Source organism: Homo sapiens, chromosome 16 (assembly GCF_000001405.40).
Source record: "Homo sapiens chromosome 16, GRCh38.p14 Primary Assembly".
Lineage (NCBI taxonomy): Eukaryota > Metazoa > Chordata > Mammalia > Primates > Hominidae > Homo > Homo sapiens.
This window is the reverse complement of record NC_000016.10, coordinates 22,161,284-22,181,879: the sequence shown is the minus strand read 5'-3', so window position 1 is coordinate 22,181,879 and position 20,596 is coordinate 22,161,284. Positions and strand designations below refer to the sequence as shown.

General features: G+C 50.6%; 1 protein-coding gene across 7 annotated transcripts in view; it reads right to left on the bottom strand.

Annotated features, from left to right (window-relative positions):
* The window catches only part of SDR42E2 (short chain dehydrogenase/reductase family 42E, member 2), a 29,246-nt gene extending 9,872 nt beyond the window's left edge, over nucleotides 1-19,374 (bottom strand). For 3 of the 7 annotated variants that reach the window (XM_017023978.3, XM_017023980.3, XM_017023981.3), the window contains exons 1-7: nucleotides 15,446-16,333; nucleotides 14,881-14,976; nucleotides 12,378-12,435; nucleotides 10,929-11,047; nucleotides 9,549-9,624; nucleotides 3,668-3,750; nucleotides 224-361 (exon numbers count right to left, since the gene is read on the bottom strand). In XM_017023978.3, coding sequence (XP_016879467.1) covers nucleotides 224-361; nucleotides 3,668-3,750; nucleotides 9,549-9,624; nucleotides 10,929-11,047; nucleotides 12,378-12,435; nucleotides 14,881-14,976; nucleotides 15,446-16,297 — 1,422 coding nt within the window. In that variant the 5' untranslated portion in view covers nucleotides 16,298-16,333. Of the gene's footprint in view, nucleotides 1-223; nucleotides 362-3,667; nucleotides 3,751-9,548; nucleotides 9,625-10,928; nucleotides 11,048-12,377; nucleotides 12,436-14,880; nucleotides 14,977-15,445; nucleotides 16,334-19,043; nucleotides 19,103-19,315 lie in introns of those variants that run through there. The other 4 variants (NM_001394319.2, NM_001365288.2, XM_017023977.2 and 1 more) reach the window with 4 other exon arrangements.
* Between the last annotated feature and the right edge of the window lie 1,222 nt (nucleotides 19,375-20,596).

The following is a 20,596-nucleotide window of genomic DNA, read 5'->3' as shown; positions in this document are numbered from 1 at the left end:
ACAACGCCAACCTCACATGGCCATAGAGAAGAGCTAAAGATGCTCTATAAAGAACTCCACACCCCACCTACCTGCTTCCCCCAAGCTCCCCTGGGCTGAGAGTCCCACCAGCCTTCTTAAGTTGGAGGGAAATCTTGTGTGCCATCCAGAAATCCCCTAGGGATGGGACGCTCTGCCTGCAGCCCTGTGGGGAAGGTGGTTGGGGGCATCAGAGGGGACTCACAGCCACGTAGCCCTTGGCCGTGGTGAGGGCCTCGGCCGCCAGCACGTGTGCCTGCACCAGATTGTGTACGTGGACCCAGTTCATCCGTGCCTTGTGGTCCCCAAATCGGAACATGAACAGCCTCTTCTTGATGTGGCCCTGGTGGAGAGGAGTGGGTGATAAACAGGCTTGTGTCCGGTGTGGCTTTACATTCCGTCTAGATGCTGATGACTCCCCAGGTTCTAGCTCCAGGTCAGGCCCCTCTGCTCCAGGCTCATGTATCCAATGCTCTCTGAATATCAGCAACGGGTTGTCTAACAGAAAACTCAAACTCACCAGCTCCTGGAGCGAGCATCTGATCGTCTCTCCCACCCCGCTCCTCCCTCCCTTCCCAGTGGACCAGTCAGTTCACTCTACCACTCAGGTTAAAACCCTAAAGCCACCTTTGACTCCCCCTTGTCTTAAACGCCATGTCCAACCCACCTGCAAATCCAATTGGTTCAACTGTTAAAATCTGTCCAGAATCTGATAGCTTCTCGCTACTCTGACAGCCACCCTCCTCTCACCTGGACGCCACAGTTGCTTCCTAACTGGTCCCCCTCTGTCCACCCTCAGCCCCTGTAGTCTGTTCTCTGCCCAGCCAGGCAGATCCTTTGATTGTTTCTTTTTTTTGAGACAGATTCTTGCTCTGTTATCCAGATTGGAGTGCAGTGGCAAGATCTTGGTCACTGCAAACTCCATCCCCTGGGTTCATGCAATTCTCCTGCCTCAGCCTCCTGAGGAGCTAGAATTACAGGCACAAACCACCATGCTCAGCTAATTTTTGTATTTTTAGTAGAGACAGGGTTTCACCATGTTGGCCAGGCTGGTCTCAAACTCCTGACCTCAGGTGATCCACCCATCTCGGCCTCCCAAAGTGCTGGGATTATAGGTGTGAGCCACCATGCCGGGCCAGATCCTTTGATTCTTTCATAGTTTTTTAGAGACAGGGTCGGGCTCTGTTGCCCACACTAGAGTTCAGTGGTGCAATCACTGCAGCCTTGAACTCCCGGGCTCAAGCGATCCTCCTGCCTTGGCCTCCCGAGTAGCTGGGACTATAGATGAATACCACCACACCTGGATACTTTTTAAATTTTTTTGTAGAAATGGGGATCTCACTATGTTGCCCAGGCTGGCCTTGAACTCCTGGGCTCAACCAATCTTCCCTCCTCGGCTTCCCAAAGTGCTGGGATTACAGACATGAGCCAGCGTGCTCAGCCAGGGATCCTTTTATTTTTAGAGATAGAGTCTCCCTGTGTCACCCAGGCTGGAGTGCAGTGGTGCAATCATAGCTCACTGCTGCCTTGAAATCCTGGGCTCAAGGGATCTTCCCATCTCAGCCTCCCAAAATGCTGAGATTATAGGCATGTGCTCCCATGCCCAGCCAGGAGGACCTTTAAAAATTCTAAGTACAACCATGTTGTTCCACGGCTCAGAACCTTCCAGGGGCTCCCATCCTGCTAGGCTGGAAGCTGAAGTCCTGACAATGGCTGTCAAACCCTTCCTGATCTGGCCCCAGCTCCTCTGTGACTTCATCTCCTACCAAACCCCCTCACTCGCTCCACCACAGCTGCACCGCCCCTTTGCTCTTCCTGGACACTGCTGCAGGTTCCCATCTCAGGGCTTTGGATGAGCTGTTCCCACTGTCTGGAAGGTATTTGGAGGAAGAGCCTTTCAGACTTTGTCACCTCTGTCAAGTGGATGCTCAAATGTCCCTTTCTAAATGAGCCCCCCCGTGACTACCTGACAAGCCCAATTCCCTCACCCTACCTCGCTTTTTCCTTTTCTCCACAGTGCCTGGAATCTTCTTTTTTTTTTTTTTTTTGAGATGAAGTTTCGCTTTTGTTGCCCAGGCTGGAGTGCAATGGCACAATCTCGGCTCACTGCAACCTCCCCATCCCAGGTTCAAGCGATTCTCCTGCCTCAGCCTCCTGCGTATCTGGGATTACAGGTGCCCACCACCACGTCTGGCTAATTTTTTGTATTTTTAGTAGAGACAGGGTTTCACCATGCTGGCCAGGCTGGTCTCGAACTCCTGACCTCAATTGATCCATCCCTGTCGGCCTCCCAAAGTGCTGGGATTACAGGCATGAGCCACCGCACTTGGCCTGAACATACCTTATAATTTAACATGTTCATTATCTGTCTCTTCATATGAGAAGATAAACGCCACAAGGACAGGAATCATCTGTTTTGTTCACTGATCTGTCCTCAAACCTAGAACAGTGCGGGGCACATACTAGGAGTTCGTAAGTATTCGTTGAATGAATGAATAAATGAATGGGGAGAGAGTCACTGGGGTTGACCACATTCCTTAAGAACCCAGTTAACTCAAAAGAAAAAAAATGATTGCTGGGTCCAGTAGTTCACGCCTGTCATCCCAGCAACTTGGGAGGTTGAGGCAGGAGGATTGGTTGAGGCCAGGAATTTGAGATCAGCTTGGGCAACATAAGGAGACCCTATCTCTACAAAAAATAAAAATAGTCAATCAGGCATGGTTGTGCACACTTATAGTCACACCTACTCAGAAGGCAGGAGGATCGCTTGAGTCCAGGAGGTGGAGGCTGCAGTGAGCCATGATCACACCATTGCACTCTTGCCTGGGTGATACAGTGAGACCCTGACTATAAACAAAAAGACATATAGCCAAGCAGAGGAATGTTCTGAAACTGCAGACTGGAACTTCTCCCCGCCAATAACTCTAGCTCCTCATAATCCCGTACTCCCAGATCAGATCCAGCCACAGGGACCTCTTGCTGCTTCCTAAAACAATCATGACCTTTCTCACTTCCAGGTTTGTGCCCAAGCTGTCCCCTCTGTTTGGCCTATCTTCTCTCTACCACTTCATTTCCTTGGTTAATTCCTTTTTCTTTTTTCAAACAACACAGACATCACTTCCTCCAGGGAGCCCTCCTGGGTTTCCCCTGCCAGGCCCATCTTCTTGTGCTCCTCTCTCCACAGCCCTCCCCACATTGAAGCTGTGACTGTGGTGTCTGTCTCCCTGAGAAATTCGAGGACAGGGCCTATAGCCCCTTGTAGCTGTATTTCTGGCACCCGACCCTTTAGAGGCTTTCTGTATGAAGACACTTGTGCTCTCAGCATGGAATAAACCATCCAGGCTTCAGGGAGCCCACATGGGAGTGAGGGCAACAGGCTCTCTTCTGCCTTTTTGGGGTCACAGCTCTATGGCTCCTCTACCCGTGCCTTGGCTTGGCTGGTACACTCTGAGAGCTCTGTTCCTGCCAGGAGCTCCAAGGGGCCTGTGGACCAGTGGGGGCAGGAACATCTTGTAGAACTGAGGGTTCCAGGCTCAGGACACTTAGCCTCGAGACTGATGCAGCGACCAGGGGCTGGGAGGGCCCGACCAGTGTACACCTCAGCCAGGATCCTTCTCTGACTTGGGTCCTGAAGGCGGGGATGACGTACCGCCACACGGGGCAGGTGCCTCTGCTCTTCAGGGCCGTAGATCCCTGGAGGCCGGAGCACACACGTCCGAAGAGTGCCTCCTCCTAGCACACAGGGAAGCGTGGTCAGGGGTCAGGGGAGGAGCAGCCCACAGGGAGAGGGAGAGAGAGGCCACCTCCATCTGTTGGTGCTTACCTGGACAGGCTAGAGGGGAAGACCGGCCCAGGGGCTTCCTCGTTCAATTTATTATTCTCTTAGTCAGTCATTCAACAGACACTATTCAGAGTCTCACTCCCACCTCCAATCCCCCTGCCCCCCACCCTGGATGGATCCTGTGAAGAATGTAAGGATGACCAATAAATGGTCCCTGCCCTCCCATTGCTCACAGTGCAGTCACAAAGGTAAGAGCCAGATGCAAACATCTGCACGGCCGGTCTGTTTACCAAGCACTCGGCAGAGTGATTTTCTTTGATGCCCCTTGAGAGTACTACTGTGCCCATTTTACAGATGCACATAGATGCACATGCCCTCATGCCCATAGCTCTTGGTCTCTCTTTTTCCTTTTCCTTTTCCTTTTTCTTTTTCTTTCTTTATTTCTTTTTTTTTGAGATGGAATCTTGCTCTGCCGCCCAGGCTGCAATGCAGTGGCGCAATCTTGGCTCACTGCAACCTCCATCTCCCGGGTTCAAGCAATTTTCCTGCCTTAGCCTCCCAAGTAGCTGGGATTACAGGTGCCCACAACCATGCCCAGCTAATTTTTGTATTTTTTAGTAGAGACGGGGTTTCACCATGTTGGCCAGGCTGGTCTTGAACTCCTGACCCCAGGTGATCCACCCGCCTTGGCCTCCTGAAGTGCTAGTATTACAGGCATGAGCCACCGCGCCCGGCCTTGTTCTCCCTTTTTCTAATCAGCAGTTGGATAAGGACCAGGAGAGGTCCTTATGTATAGATAAGGACTATATAATAGATATCTAAGAGACAAGGACTCTCAGAGAGGTCCTTCTATGTTCCTGGTGCTCTGATACGCCAAGGTTGGAGATGTTATAATCCCTGCCTATGGATAAAAGAACCACAGCTCAGAGAAGGGATGTGATTTGCTTCCAGTCACACAGATCAGCGCAGTGGAGCTGAGATGGGGACCTGAAGTCCACACCGTTTCCACTAATACCTCCGCTTCTCAGCAGTAAGGCAAACAGTGAACCCTGTCTTTTAGCCAGCTCAGCCTTGGTTTCCTCACATGGAAAATGGGTGCTTTGGAAGTGGCAGCAGCTGCTACACTTTCCAATCAATGGAGAAAGGAAAGAGCCGGGGTCTGTACCCCTTTCACTGCTCTATCTCAGCGGAGTTCCCCAGACCCTGACAGAGCTCAATCTAGGGCTTCCCAAATTCTCCACTGGAGGGACCCAAATGGCAGAAGCAGGTGAACATGTATCTCCTGGGGCGGTCTGGGGTTACAGTCTGAAGGGCTGCCACAGACATATGTCAGTCTTGTCTTAAGAACACCTACTACTAGCTGGGAGCAGTGGCTCACGCCTGTAATCCCAGCACTTTGGGAGGCCAAGGCAGGAGGATTGCTTGAGCCCAGGAGTTCGAGACCAGCCTGGGCAACATAGTGAGTCTCTACTATTTATTAAAAAATAAAATAAAATAACACCTACAAAGTATTCAGTTTATCCTCATAATTCATGTTTAAGATTTAAAAAATTTTTCTTTTATTTTTATTGCCATATAATAATTGTACATATTTGTGGGGTAAGGTGTGATGTTTTGGCTCTGAAGTTTAGAGCGTAAGGGATACCTAAGGTTTTTACCTACATGCATACAGTGTGTAATGATCAAATCAGGGTAATGAGCATATCTATTAATACATTTCTTTGTCTTGGGAACATTCACATCTACTGCCTGGGCAATAAAACGAGACCCCCATCTCTGACAAAGAAAAAAAAAATTAGCCAGGCACCATGGTGTGCACCTACAGGCCCAATGTTCTTGGAGGCTGGGGTGGGGGAATCACTTGAATCCAAGACTTTGAGGCTGCAGTGAGCCATGATAGCGCCACTACACTTCAGCCTGGGCGACAGAGCGAGACCCTGTCCCAAAGAAAAAAAATCCACTCTTCTAGCTATTTGAAAATACACAATAAATAGTTGTTAATTATAGTCACTATATAGTGCTATAGAACACTATAACTATTTTTAAAAAAGAGTTTTAGAAAATATTTAAAATGACTTTTTTTTTTTTTTAATAGAGTCTTGCTCTGTCGCGCAGGCTGGAGTGCAATGGCACGATCTCGGCTCACTGCAACCTCTACCTGTCAGGTTCAAGTGATTCGCCTGCCTCAGCCTCCCGAGTAGCTGGGATTACAGGCACCTGCCACCACGCCCCACTAATTTTTGTATTTTTAGTAGAGGAGGGGCTTCGCTATGTTGGCCAGGCTGGTCTTGAATGCCTGACCTCAGGTGATCCACCCACCTCAGCCTCCCAAAGTGCTGGGATTACAGGCGTAAGCCACTGTGCCCAGCCTAAAATGACTTATTTAATTAATTATTTTTAGAGACAGGGTCTCACTCTGTCACCCAGGCTGAAATGCAGTGGTGCGTCATGGCTCACTGCATCCTCAACCTCCCAGGCTCAAGCAATCATCCTACCTTAGTCTCCCAAGTGGTTGGGAGACTAAAAAAAAAAAAAAAAAAGGAAGGAGTGTAGCCTACTTGAGCCTCTGGGAGTACAGCCCAGCAGACACCTTGATTTCAGACTCTGGCCTCCAGGATGGTGAGAGAAGAAACGATTGTCTTTTGTTCATTTGTTTTTGAGAGAGGGTCACAGCTTACTGCCATCTTGACCTCCCTGGGCTCAGGTGATCCTCCCACCTCTGCCTCCCGAGTAGCTGGGAGTACAGGTGTGCACCACCACACCAGGTCATTTTTGTATTTTTTTGTAGAGATGGAGTTTTGCCATGTTGCCCGGGCTGGTCTTGAACTCCTGAGCTCAAGCAGTCCTCCCGTCTTGGCCTCACAAAGTGCTGGGATTACAGGTGTCAGCCACCATGCCCGGCCCATTTCTATTGTTTTAAGCCATCAAGTTTGGGTGGCATCATTTGTCACAGCTGCCACAGGATACTAACACACCCAGAGACAGAAGACGGGAGGACATAACTGCATTAACACTGAGCTAGGATCTGCACGCCTCAGGACTCTGCTCCCAGGACTACGGACCTCTGCGCCGAGTCAGAAGAACAGTTTCAGGAACCCGCTTGGATAGTAGGGAGTGGAAATGACCCCAGGTGACTGCAGCGGGACTCCTGGAAGGCAGATATTGGGTGAGATTTCCTGTAAACAGCTTGCAGCTAATTTTAAACTCTGGGTCACCTGGGCATAGTGGGGGGAGGTCGGGTTGCAGCTGACGTTGGCAGGCGGGGCATTGAACAGCTACTTCACGGAGGGCCAGGGTATCCATGACTCTCCTGACCATGGAAAGCTGCAGATGCTCATATAAATAATTCTTGGCTGGAGGATTAGGTGTCTAGAGTACAGGCTACTGGGCTGGCTGGCAGAGGCCCCAGGTAGAGAAAATATTATTCAACTGCACAAGGTTGAAACTCCTGGGAGAACAGCTGGATATTTCTACTGGAATCAGGGGTCCAGGCCTAACTGGCCCAGGGTGATGGGGAGTAGGGTGGGGGCTGGGGGTGGGGAAGATTTTAGGGAAAAGAGTTGATGCTCAGGGACCTGCTCAGCTGGGGCTGCAGCACTGCACAGTGATTAGGCCCCAGGCTCTGGTGTTAAACTCTCCTGGGGTTCAAATCCCACCTCTACCACCTAACAGCTGGATGATCTTGAGTGAGGTCAGTTCATCTGTCTGTTTTCTCACCTGTACATTGAGGATTATTATTATTATTATTGAGATGGAGTCTCGCTCTGTCTCCCAGGCTGGAGTGTAGTGGCACAATCTCGGCTCACTGCAACCTCTGCTCCCTGGGTTCAAGGGATTCTCCTGCCTCAGCCTCCTGAGTAGCTGGGATTACAGGGACGCATTGCCATGCCCAGCTAATTTTTTTGTATTTTTAGTAGAGACGGGGTTTCACCATATTGGCTAGGCTGGTCTTGAACTCCTGACCTTGTGATCCGCCCGCCTCAGCCTCCCAAAGTGCTGGGATTACAAGTGTGAGCCACCGCACCCAGTGAGGATTATAATTTTTAAGCCTCCGACTCTCCAAATCCACCTGGCTCTCAAGTTTAGATAGTTTTGATAGTGAAGGGAAACCAAGTTATCTGATTCTTTTTACGTTCTGAATTTTAGAAAGCTATATATATATATATATATATATACACACACACATATATATACGTAGCCCATATACATATATATATATTTTGTACAGACATGGTTTTGCCATGTTCTCCAGGCTGGTCTCGAACTCCTAAACTCAAGCCATCCACCCACCTCCGCCTCCCAAAGTGCTGAGATTACAGGCGTGAGCCACTGTACCGGCCCAAATAGTGATAATTTGGATAGCACGAAATTTATTTGAATAAATTTGGTTCTGAAGCTTAGAAAGCAAGGGATATCTATGGTTTTTACCTAAAAGGGGTACTGTGAAGGGTTAATCAGACCTTTGCATATAAAGTTAGCAACCTGTGGGAGGAGAATCCATAAAAAAATGAGATAAAATTAAAATAAAGGGAAAAGTAGAATAAAGAATGGGGCCAGGTGTGGTGGCTCACAGACTCCCATGCCTATAATCCCAGCACTTTGGGAGGCCAAGGCAGGTGGATCGCTTGAGGTCAGCAGTTCTAGACTAGCCTGACCAACATGGTGAAACCCCATCTCTACTAAAAATACAAAAATTAGCCAGGTGTGGTGGCATGCACCTGTAGTCCCAGCTATTCGGGAGGCCGAGGCAGGAGAATCTATTGAACCCAGGAGGCAGAGGTTGCAGTGAGCCAAAATCACACCATTTCACTGCAGCCTGGGTGACAGAGCAATACTCCTTCTCAAAGAAAAAAAAATAAGAGATTAATAATTGTATTTGAAAGAAAAAAATAGCATGCAAAATAGGGCCTGGCATGTAGTGTGCACTCAAGAAATACGGACTATTTGCCTTCTACTATTACTCATCTATAACCAGAAGAGGCAATATAAAAAGGCAGCCAAGGCCAGGCATGGTGGCTCATGCCTGTAATCCCAGCATTTGGGAGTTCGAGGCAGGAAGATCACTTGAGGCCAGGAGTTTGAGACCAGCCTGGATGACATAGTGAGACCCCATCTCTACAAAAAAATTTAAAATAAGCCTGGAATGGTGGCACACACCTGCAGTTTCAGCCACTTGGGAGGCTGAGGCAGGAGGATTACTTAAGCCCAGGAGTTTGAGGCTGCAGTAAGCTATGATTGTGCCATTGCACTCCAGCCTGGGCAACAGAGCAAGACCCTATCTCTAAAACAAATAAATAACTAAGACAGCCAAGGTAGACTCTACTGGGAAGTTGCTGAAGCTTGAGCTTTTGGGCCTCTCCCTTGCCAGGCCCTTCCAAAGTGTTATATCTCATTCCACACTCATAATTTGGTACTCTTTTGTCTAAAGAGGGCCCCTAAAACTGGATCAACTCCTGTGCAGGAGAAAAGAGAGAGACTTGGGTTTGCTCAAGTCTCTTCCCCACCTAGCTGTGAGCTATGTAAGGGCAGACACTGGGCCTGACTTCTTCTGGGCTGTATCCCTGGTGGGGTGCAGCCACACAGCAGGTGCTCAGAATGTGCTGAATGATGAATGGGCAAGGCCCTGGGAAACCGTCCTTTGGAAGGAAGGTGGGCCTCAGACACATGTTAGCATGAATCACACATGTATTTTGGAGGAGGCAGCAGTGGGCAGGTGCATTTGGTACAAGCAGAGCCCCATGATACTCACCTGGGAGAGGCATCCCATTGGCCATGAGGGTCAATTGGTCGGCGATGGCTTTGGTTCGGGAGTAGTGGTCTACGTGCTGCCAGAGGCCAGGAAAAACAGAACCACCAGAGAGGGTCAGCAATGCTGCTGGCAATGCCTGCCCAGCCCCAGGGCTGCACCTTCCCTGGGGACTCCCACTGGGATATGGCCAGGCCCTGAGCCCCATGGCCTTTCCTCTCCCCCTGGGTGGGAGAACAGTGCATCTCCTTCCAGAGCCACAGGAGCAGAGGAGCACTGGGTTCGGAGCAGTAACAATGACCAGGGGCAGCCGACTCAGGGAGGCTCCTGCCAGCCCCAGACACCTGTCCTTGCAAGGCTGATGCTGGACACATGCTGGATGAATTACCTACACATGGCTCTTTTGTGTTCACATGGCATTTTCACATCGGTTATCTTATTTCCTGCTCTGCACAACCCCATGGTGATAGTGTTACCATACTGGGTTGAAGAAACAGAGGCTTGTCCGGGTGCAGTGGCTCATGCCTGTAATTCCAGCACTTTGACAGCCGCAGGAGGGAGGATTGATTGAGCCCAGGAGTTCGAGACCAGCCTGGGCAACTCAATGAAACCTGTATCCACTAAAAATACAAAAATTAGCTGGGCGTGGTGGCGCACGACTGTAGTCCCAGCTACTGGGGAGGCTGAGGCAGGAGAATCACTTGAACCCGGGAGGCAGAGGTTGCAGTGAGCTGAGATCATGACACTGCACTCCAGTCTGAGTGACAGAGCAAAGCAAGACCTTGTCTCAAAACAAAACAAAACAAACAAACAACACGCCTGTAATCCCAGCACTTTGGGAGGCTGAGGCTGGCAGATCACGAGGTCAAGAGATGGAGACCATCCTGGCCAACATGGTAAACCCTGTCTCTACTAAAAATACAAAAATTGGCTGGTTGTGGTGGCATGCACCTATAATCCCAGCTACTTGGGAGGCTGAGGCAGGAGAATCTATTGAACCCAGGAGGCAGAGGTTGCAGTGAGCCAAAATCACGCCACTGCACTCCAGCCTGGGGACAGGGTGAGACTCTGTCTCAAAAAAACAAAAGAAAAGAAAAGAAAAAAAAACAGGCTCAAAGGGCTTAAGTGATTTGCTCAGGGTCAGGGTCACATGGGTAGAATGCGGCCAGGTTGAGGCTAAGGCCAGACCTGTCTGATTTCAATGCCCCTGCAGGTGTGACCAACTGAAACAGGAGAGTGCTGACGCCACCCAGTTTTGGGAGCCCCTTCCTGCTAGGACGTATCCTGAGTTGTGAAACCAACCCTGCTTCCACCCATCCCTCCCCTCTGAGCTGTGGGTCCCGGGCCCGCGGGTCCTGCCCACCTCTCCCGGAAGACAGGTACCTCGTCCAATGGGAAATATGGCACAGAGTCCTCATCGCCCTGCTCTATGGGCTTCCCTCCAAATGCAACATTGACAGTGCTGGTATAGATGAGCCTTGGAACCCGCCGGCGAACACAGACTGCAGCAGCAGGTGCACATAGCAACAAATAAACACACACACACATGCAAAGACACAGACACACACGGGACACAAGTGAGCATAGAGTCGGCTGAGGAGGTGTCATGCAGATCTCTACCAAGTTTTCAACACACAACTTGGACCCCCAGGACCCTCCCAGAATCTACAGCTGTTCAGGAGGGAAGAGTCTCCTGCCCTTAACTTAGGGTGCAGGTCAAGTTCCTGCTCTGTGGGCCCCTGGGAGCCAGGTCTGCTCCTTATTCTTTCTCATTGTGGCTTGGACCCCTGGGCTACCTTGCCAGAGACAGGTCAGAAGAAGGTCTCACTGGATGGAGACTTAGAAAAAGACACTCTAGAATCAAAGACATACGGGATAAGGCAGGACATGCCCAGGCAGCCCACACATGGGTCTGCGATTTTGGTGCTTTAGTAACTTTTTATTTATCTGTTTGTTTATTTATTTATTTATTTATTTATTGAGACGGAGTTTCACTCTTGTTGCCCAGGCTGGAGTGCAATGGCGCGATCTCGGCTCACCACAACTTCCCCCTCCCAGGTTCAAGCGATTCTCCTGCCTCAGCCTCCCGAGTAGCTGGGATTACAGGCATGCGCCACCACGCCCCGCTAATTTTGTAGTTTTAGTAGAGATGGGATCTCTTCGTGTTGGTCAGTCTAGCCCCGAACTCCCGACCTCAGGTGATCCACCTGCCTCGGCCTCCCAAAGTGCTGGGATTACAGGCGTGAGCCACCTCGCCCAGACTTATTTATTTATTTTTAAATTTTATTTATTTATTTATTTTGAGATGGAGTTTTGCTCTTGTTACCCAGGCTGTAGAGCAGTGGCACGATCTCGGCTCACTGCAACCTCTGCCTCTCAGATTCAAGCGATTCTCCTGCCTCAGCCTCCTAGGTAGGTGGGACTGCAGGCACCCGCCACCACGCCTGGCTAATTTTTTGTATTTTTAGTAGAGGTGGGGTTTCACCATTTTGGCCAGGCTGGTCTCGAACTCTTGACCTCAGGTGATCCACCCCTGTTGGTCTCCCAAAGTGCTGGGATTACAGGCATGAGCCACCACGCCCAGCCAGCTTCGGCAACTTTTCTTTTTCCAGTCCCTAAGCCCTGAGAGGTAACTCTGGTCCCCATGTTCCCAGACATGCTAAGGCCACACTGACACACCCATGCAGGGCCCTGGGGAGGTCTGCAGTGCACGAAGGATGCGCTGCCCACAGGCCCTCCCTTTGACCCTACACCCTGGGAGCCAGGCCTGCAGCAGGAGAAGGGAGAGAGGGGGAGAGGCACAGCAGGTCATACCCGGCTCTGAGCACCTACCATCAATCACTAGTTTGGTGCCTCCAACATTTATAGACTCAATCTGCTCTTTCTGCAGCTAAAAGACAAGACAGGTGAGAAAGTCATGGTGCTACCCATGCCTTCTTGCTGAGGCTGGAAGGCTGAGCTTGGGGTCAGGTGGGACAGGGCAGCAGGATGTTCAGTTCAGAGGCAGGGATCCCGAAGGCCCACCTGGAGTGTGGGTGCCTGGCTCTGCCACCATCTTCCTGGGTGGCCAGAGGAGGTTCTGCCCACACATCTGTCCCTCAGCAACCTCATTTGTAAAGTGAGGGCCAACCTCCTCCCCTGGGTGGTGGGCGGGACTCAATAAGACACTTGAGAGGACCTGGTACAGTGCCTGGCACAGAAGATGGGCTCAGAACCTGTTGGGTCATTTTCCTACTCTCAAAGCCTCAGTTTCCCTATCTGTAAGGTGAACATGGTAATATGGGCTGGGCCCTCACGAGGGAGCTGGGATGTGAAAAACAAAAATTAGGCCGCTGTGAGGGCTCCTGTGGGCCAGGAACAGGGCAAGAACTTCCTGATCCATGATCTCATTTAATTCTCATCACACCAGGAGATGAGCTCCATGCTTATTTTTAAGCTATATTTATTATTATTATTTTTTTGAGACCGAGTTTAGCTCTTGTTGTCCAAGGTGGAGTGTAGTGGTACAATCTTGGCTCACTGCAACCTCTGCCTCCCGGGTTTGAATGATTCTCCTGCCTCAGCCTCCCAAGTAGCTGGGATTACAGGCATGCACCACCATGCCTGGCTAATGTTTTTGTATTTAGTAGAGATGGGGTTTCATCATGTTGGTCAGGATGGTCTCAAACTCCTGACCTCAGGTGATCCACCTGCCTTGGCCTCTCCAAATGTTGGGGGTACAGGCATGAGCCACTGCTTCCAGCCTATATTTATTCTTTTAAAAATTTTTGGCCAGGTGTGGTATCTCATGCCTGTAATCCCAGCACTTTGGGAGGCCGAGGTGGGCGGATCACTTCAGGTCAGGAGTTTGAGACCAGCTTGAGCAACATGGCAAAACCCCATCTCTACTAAAAATACAAAAATTAGCCAGGTGTGGTGGCGTGCAACTGTAATCTTAGCTACTCAGGAGTCTGAGGCAGAAGAATCGCTTGAGCCTGGGAGGTGGAGGCTGCAGTGAGCTGAGATCATATCACTGCACACCAGCCTTGGTGACTGAGCGAAACTCCGTCTCAAAAATAAATAAATAAATAAAAATAATAAAATTTACTTTTATTATTTTTAAATAGAGATAGGGGTCTCACTATGTTGCCCAGGCTGGTCTCGAACTCCTGGGCTCAAGCAATCCTCCCACCTTGGCCTCCCAAAGTGCTGGGATTACAGGTGTGAGCCACCACACCTGGCTCTATATTTATTCTTGTTGTGGCTGTTTTTGTTTCATAGGCAACACGATCAAGGTTAAAAAGAATTCAAACAGTAAAATGGGTGTATAGTGAAAAAGAAGGTTCCCTCCTACTCCTGATTCCAAATCTTCCTTTTCCCTCCCCAGAGGCAGCCACTGTTAAATTTCCGGTGTTTCTCGAGATAATCTATTCTTATTAATATCAGCATATAAGCATGTGTGACTATAGAAATAAATAGTTTCTTTAGCTTTTTTTGGAAACAAACAGGAGAATGCCAAACACTGCTTTGCACCTTGGAAACTATTTTTTTAATCTGCACACTTTGAGTTACCTCTTTCTTTTGAATGGCTGCATAGAATTTGACTGTAAAACACAATTTATTTAAATAGTCCTCAACTGATAGGTTATTTCTGGTGTTTTGTTATTAAAAACAATGCTGCAAATACACAAATGAGTGTAATTTCTGAGGCAACGGGTATACATATGTTTTGGTGGATACTATTACATTGCTCTCTGAAGAGGTTGTGATATTACCAATAGTAATATCCTCACTTTCCAGATGATGAAAGAGGATCAAAGAGGTTAAATAAACTTGCCCTAGATAACACAGTTATAAAATGGCAGAAATGGGGCCGGGTGCGGTGGCTCCTGCCTGTAATCCCAGCACTTTGGGAGGCCAAGGCGGGCAGATCACCTGAGGTCAGGAGCTTGAGACCAGCCTGGCCAACATGGTGAAACCCTGTTTCTACTAAAAATACAAAAATTAGCTGGGCGTGTTGGTGGCACCTGTAATCCCAGCTACTCAGGAGGCTGAGGCAGAAGAACCACTTGAACCTGGGAGATGGAAGTTGCAGTGAGCTGAGATTGTGCCACTGCACTCCAGCCTGGGTGACAGAGTGAGACTCAGTCTCAAAAAAAAAAAAAAAAAAAAAAAAAAAAAAAAAAAAAATGGCAGAACTGGTATTTGGTGTCATGGATGCAGGATGCAGGGTGGGAGTAGCCCAAGTCCCTCCTATAATAGGTGAAGCATGATAGGGAATGCATGGGTGTGAGGGCAGAGCCAGGACTGGAACCCCACTCTGTCTAACTCCAGGTGTTGTGTGTGAGGAGCCCACCTTCTCAGCCCCGGACATTCCATAGGAAGCCACGTGGAAGACACAGTCCACCCCTTCGAAGGCACGGTACAGGGCTTCTTCATCTCGGACATCAGCCTGCACCAGAGGAAGAAGAGATGAGGGCAGGGGGTTCAAGTCCAAGGCAAGAGATAACACCTCTGCACCTTGCCTGGTCTCAGAACTGGCCCCCTGACCCAGCCCAGGCCAAGCCTCTGTAGCATCAGGAAAGGCTGGTGGGGCAGGATTCACTAAATGATTCTACAGGGCACCGTGAGCAACATCCCGTGCTCATTCATCACGCTCTGTAGGTGACAGGGGCTGTGCTAGGTTTATGTGCACTGTCTCATCAACTCCCAATGAGACCCTGTGAAGTAGGTGTTGGTTACTATTGTCCCCTTTCTGTGACCATAGCTACCCAGCTGGTAGCACCAGAGCCAGAGCTATAGCTCAAACAGTCTGGCTTCAAACAGTGTGCCCCTAAACTCCACACCACAGGTTTCACATCAAACACTGTCCCCTGACCATCACCACTGCCCCAGTCTATTAAGACCCTTGTTCCTTGTACCTGGATGAACTTGGTTTCCGGGGACAGTTCCCACTGGGGTCTGCGGCGGTCAAGCAGAATGACGGAAGTGCCGCTCTTGGCTAGGTGGGATCCCAGGCTGAAGCCCAGGTAGCCTCCTCCTCCAGTCACTAGAACCTTCTGCCTGGCAGCCTTTGTAGGTTTGGCTTGAGTCTTCTGCTGCGGCGCTGGTGTTGGGGTTGTTGTTGACTCACTGGGTCTGGGCCCAGTCCCAGACCCCTGTCTGAGCCCAGGCCCTAGCTCTGGCTCAGGTGTAGACCCAGCTCCTGCCCCAGGTACTGATCCAGCTCCCGGCCCAGGTACCGATCCAGCTCCCGGCCCAGGTACCGATCCAGCTCCCGGCCCAGGTACAGACCCAGCTCCTGGCCCAGCTCCTACACCAGGTCCCAACCCACCTCCTAGACCAGGTCCCGACCCAGCTCCTGGTCCAGGTACAGACCCAGCTCCTGGCCCAGGTACGGACCCAGCTCCTGGCCCAGGTACGGACCCAGCTCCTGGCCCAGGTACGGACCTAGCTCCTAGACCAGGTACGGACCCAGCTCCTGGCCCAGGTACAGACCCAGCTCCTGGCCCAGGCCCTAGACCTGGTCCAGTCCCTGAAATAGCACCAGGCCTCGGAACAGTACCAGAACCCGCCTGAGGTCCTGGAATAGCTTTGGGCCCCAGTCCAGGCCCTGGAATGGCACCAGGCTTTGGTGCAGGCCTTGACTCAGACCCTGAGCCAGACCTTGGACCTGAGACCTCTCCACAGGCCTGGCAGACAGGGCAGCTCTTCTCACCCTGGCCTGCAGCTTTGCAGGCCTCTAGGGAGGAGCGTGGGGGGTTGGACTTCATCCTCTACTGAGCCATGCAGACCCAGAAACCGACCACCTGTGGGAAAAAAAATAGAAGAAAGAATGCTCTAGAATCGTTTCAAGTCACATAAATTATTAGACCTCTAGGACTGAGGGGAACTCCAGGTGGAAATTAGAAATTCTCTGAGTTCCCAGGGAACCTGCCCCTTTCAGAATCTCAAGAATCTCCAGTGTGGGCCCGGCGTGGTGGTTCACGTCTGTAATCCCAGCAGTTTGGGAGGCTGAGGTGGGCGGATCACTTGAGGCCAGGAGTTGGAGATCAGCATGGCCAACATGGTGAAATCCTGTCTCTACTGAAAATACAAAAATTAGCCGGGTGTAGTGGGGCACACCTGTAATCCCAGCTACTCAGGAGACTGAAGCACAAGAATTGCTTGAACCTGGAAGGCGGAGGTTGCAGTGAGCTGAGATGGTGCCACTGCACCCCAGTCTGGGCAATAGAATGAGACTCAGTCTCAAAAACAAACAAACAAACAAACAAACAAAAAACTCCAGTGTGGCTGCTGTCCTCTGCACAGAGTCAGAGACAAGGCAGCCAAGACTTGGATTTTAGAGCTAAGAAAATTGAGGCCCAAAGTCACGCTGTGTAACTGAGGTTGACATTAAGCATTCCTGACTTATCTACCAGTTCCTTAAAATTCCAGTTTCCATGGAGTACCAAAGGAAGACAGGGCAAATCATCCAGCGGGAACCTCACCAGACTGGGAGGTGGCTGCTTTCTGACTGGGGAGATTGGGAGAGCCTTCTGGAAGAGGAGGAAGAGAAAGAGGAGGAGGAGGAGAATCCACATGGATCCAAAAGGACTCTGCACCCTGGAAACTTGCACATGACTCCAAGTGCTGTGCCTGTCTCCACCCTGATGCCTGACGCCTCTGGTCCTCCAAGGTCCGACAGTAGTGTGGGTGGCTGGTACCACACGTTCTGCCCAATCCCTCTGCAGGCTTTAGGGTCTGGTCTATGGGCCTAGGGGGACAGCACTGAGGATCCTGTTCTTTGCAGCCTCAGACTACTTTCTTTTCTCTGTCGCCCAGGCTGGAGTGCAGTGGCACAATCATAGCTCACTGCAGCTTCAAACTTCTGTGCTCAAGCGATCCTTCCATCTTAGCCCCACAAGCAGCTGGGAATACAGGTGCATGCTACCATGCCTGGTGAATTTTTGCATTTTTAGTAGAGATGGGGTTTCACCATGTTGGCCAGGCTGGTCTTGAACTCCTGACCTCAAGTGATCCTCCCACCTCAGCCTCCCAAAGTGCTGGGATTACAGGTGTGAGCCACCGCATCCAGCTCCCTAGATCTTTTTTTAATTTTTGAGACAGAGTCTCACTCTGTTGCCCAGGCTAGTAGTGAACTCCTGGAACTCAAGCAATTCTCCTGCCTTGGCCTCCCAAAGTGTTGAGATTACAGGCGTTAGCCACTGTGCCCAGCCCTCAGTCTAGACTCAGGGCAAGCCAGGCTGTCAGTCACTGTCACCATCGTCCATCCCCCCACCCCCCTCCCGACCTCCCTCTCCACCTGAGGATGAGGCTGGATGACCAGGGCTAGGTGATCATTAACCGTAACAACAGCAACCATGTGCTAGGGACCTCTGTGCGCCAGGCCCTACATATACAGATAGGTGCATCTCTGCCCTGCATGGCATATACTGGCTGCATGAAAGAACGGGTATTTGTTGAGTGACTGGACTGATGAGCCCCATGTTTTTTTGCTGGTGGTGGTCACAGGGCAGGGACTCTGGCAGCTAGAGGGGCTGTATTTTTAATTTCCTCTGTTACTGCCCTGCTCACCAAATGTCTGGGTGAGGAATACAGTCCTGCCCCGTATAAGCACGAACACTCATGGCTTTATTTATTTATTTAGAGAAGGAGTCTCACTCTGTTGCTCAGGCTGGAGTGCAGTGGTGTGATCTTGGCTCACTGCAACCTCCGCCTGCCTTGTTCAAGCAATTCTCCTCCCTCAGCCTCCCGAGTAGCTGGGACTACAGGCACGCGCCACCACACCTGGTTAATTTTTGTATTTTTAGTAGAGACGGGGGTTTCACCATTTTGGCCAGGCTGGTCTCAAACTCCTGGTCTCAAGTGATCTGCCACCCTCAGCCTCCCAAAGTGCTGGGATTACAGGCGTGAGCCACTGCGCCCAGCCCACTCATGGATTTAATGAGAGAGACTGCAAACCATCATGAGCAGGGGCCTAAATCCCCGAGAGGGAGAGGAGAGGATGCAGCCCCACAGCGAGCCCTCCTCCTGTACTCAGGCCCAGAGGACTCTGTTCTGGGGAAGGGTCTATGGGACCAGAGCTGACTTTCTACCCTAAGAGGATGCCTTTTGTGGCAAAGGCTGGACTCAGCCTTGGATACTCACTTATTGGGGTGTGCCCTTGGGTAAGGGCCTTAAAACCTCACTGTACCTTAGTACCCACAACCGCGAATGGACCCAAATATTTCTGGCTGCTCTGGCTCCTCACAGGGTGGTCATGAGAAAACAGACGCCAGAATGCCTTGCGAGGCTAGATTGCAAAGCTCCAGGAGGATTTCATTCCCTGGAGTGTCCCAGCACCTAGAACAGTGCCTGGCGCAAAGCAGGCGGCCAGCAAATGCTGCTGGGTGAACAAAATCTCTGGGGCGTGTTCGGGATCTGGCTGTGCTATGGTCGCGCGCCAGACCCACCCTGGACATGGCTTCACTCATTCTTTTGGAAGTTCAGTGAAGTACAGGCTATGGTTCCCATTACCCAGAGGTGGAAACTGAGGCCCAGAGAACATGAGGAAACTTTGATGGAGTCACAGACAGTGTCTCCGCCGGAATCCAGGTCGATGGGGACCCCAAAAGCGGGTTTGGTGGAAGGAACTGGCAAAAGGGTGGGGAGCATCAGGGACTGACCCTGAGAGCGCTGGGCTCGCGGGCAGCTCCAGGGTGGGGGTCCCCTCCCCTCTTGGCTCCCTCACCCTCCCTGTCCCTCCAGCACCTGCGTCCCTCCCTGGCCCGCGTCCGGGCTTCGCTCACCTGGCCCGGGCTCCCGCGGCGCTGCGTGCTCCCCGCGCTGCGCCAGTCTCCGCGCCGCCAGGGCCACCGGGCCACCTCCTTCTCCCGAGGAGGGCAGAAAGGGGCGGGGCGGGGCGGGACGAGGCATCCGGACCGCCCCCCGCCCGCTCTTCTGCCCGCCCACTCCCGGCGCGGGAGCACCTGCATTCTCTCAGGTGGAGACCCGCGGGCTCTCATAGAGGGGAAACTGAAGCCAGTAGGGCTGGGATGGGCGAAATGGTCCACGCTTCTTGTGGGAAAAGACGCAAAGGCCCTGCGTGCCGGGCTCTGTCCTGCAGGCCAAGTCGTCCTAGAACCCCAAGAAAAAGGGTTTCATCTATATGTAGGAGCAGAATTGCTGGGTCATATGATTACTCTGTGTTTAGAGAAGAACCGCCAAACTGTTTTCTAAAGTAGCTGTACCATTTTACAATCCTACCAGCAGTGTATAGGGTTCCAATACTTCCGCATCCTTACCAACACTTATTATTATATCTATGTTTAAAATTTTAACTATTCTACTGGGTGTGAAGTGGTGTCTCATTGTGGTTTCATTTGAATTTCCTGATAGCTAATGCTGCTGAACATGTTTTCATGTGCTCATTGGCACATTAATGTGTTTTCTTTGGAGAAGTGTCTGTTCAAATCCTTTGCTCATTTTCAGTTGAGTTATTTGTTGACTTTTAAGAGTTCTTTGTATATTCTGGATACAAATCCTTCATCAGATAAATGATTTGCAAATATTTAAACAAAAACAAAAAACCAAAAAAGTTCTTCCATCATCCATCCTTCCACCTATCCATCCATCCTTCCATCCATCCATCCTTCCACCTATCCATCCAACCTTCCATCCATCCATCCTTCCACCTATCCATCCAACCTTCCATCCATCCAGCCTTCCACCTATCCATCCAGCCTTCCACCTATCCATCTAACCTTCCATCATCCATCCTTCCACTTATCCATCCAATCTTCTCCCTGACCATCCTTCTGCTTATCCATCCAACCTTCCATCCATCTGTACTTCTACCTGTCCATCCAGCTTTCCATCCATCTTTATTTCAACCTGTCCTTTCCATCCATCTGTATTTCAACCTATCCATACAACCTGTCATCCATCCATTCTTAAACCTGTCCATCCAACCTTCCATCATCTATCCTTCCACCTATCCATCCAAATTTCCATCCATCCAACCTTCCACCCATCTAATTCATTACATATATCTTTCTTTCCTTGCTTCTACCCATCTATCTACTCTCCCT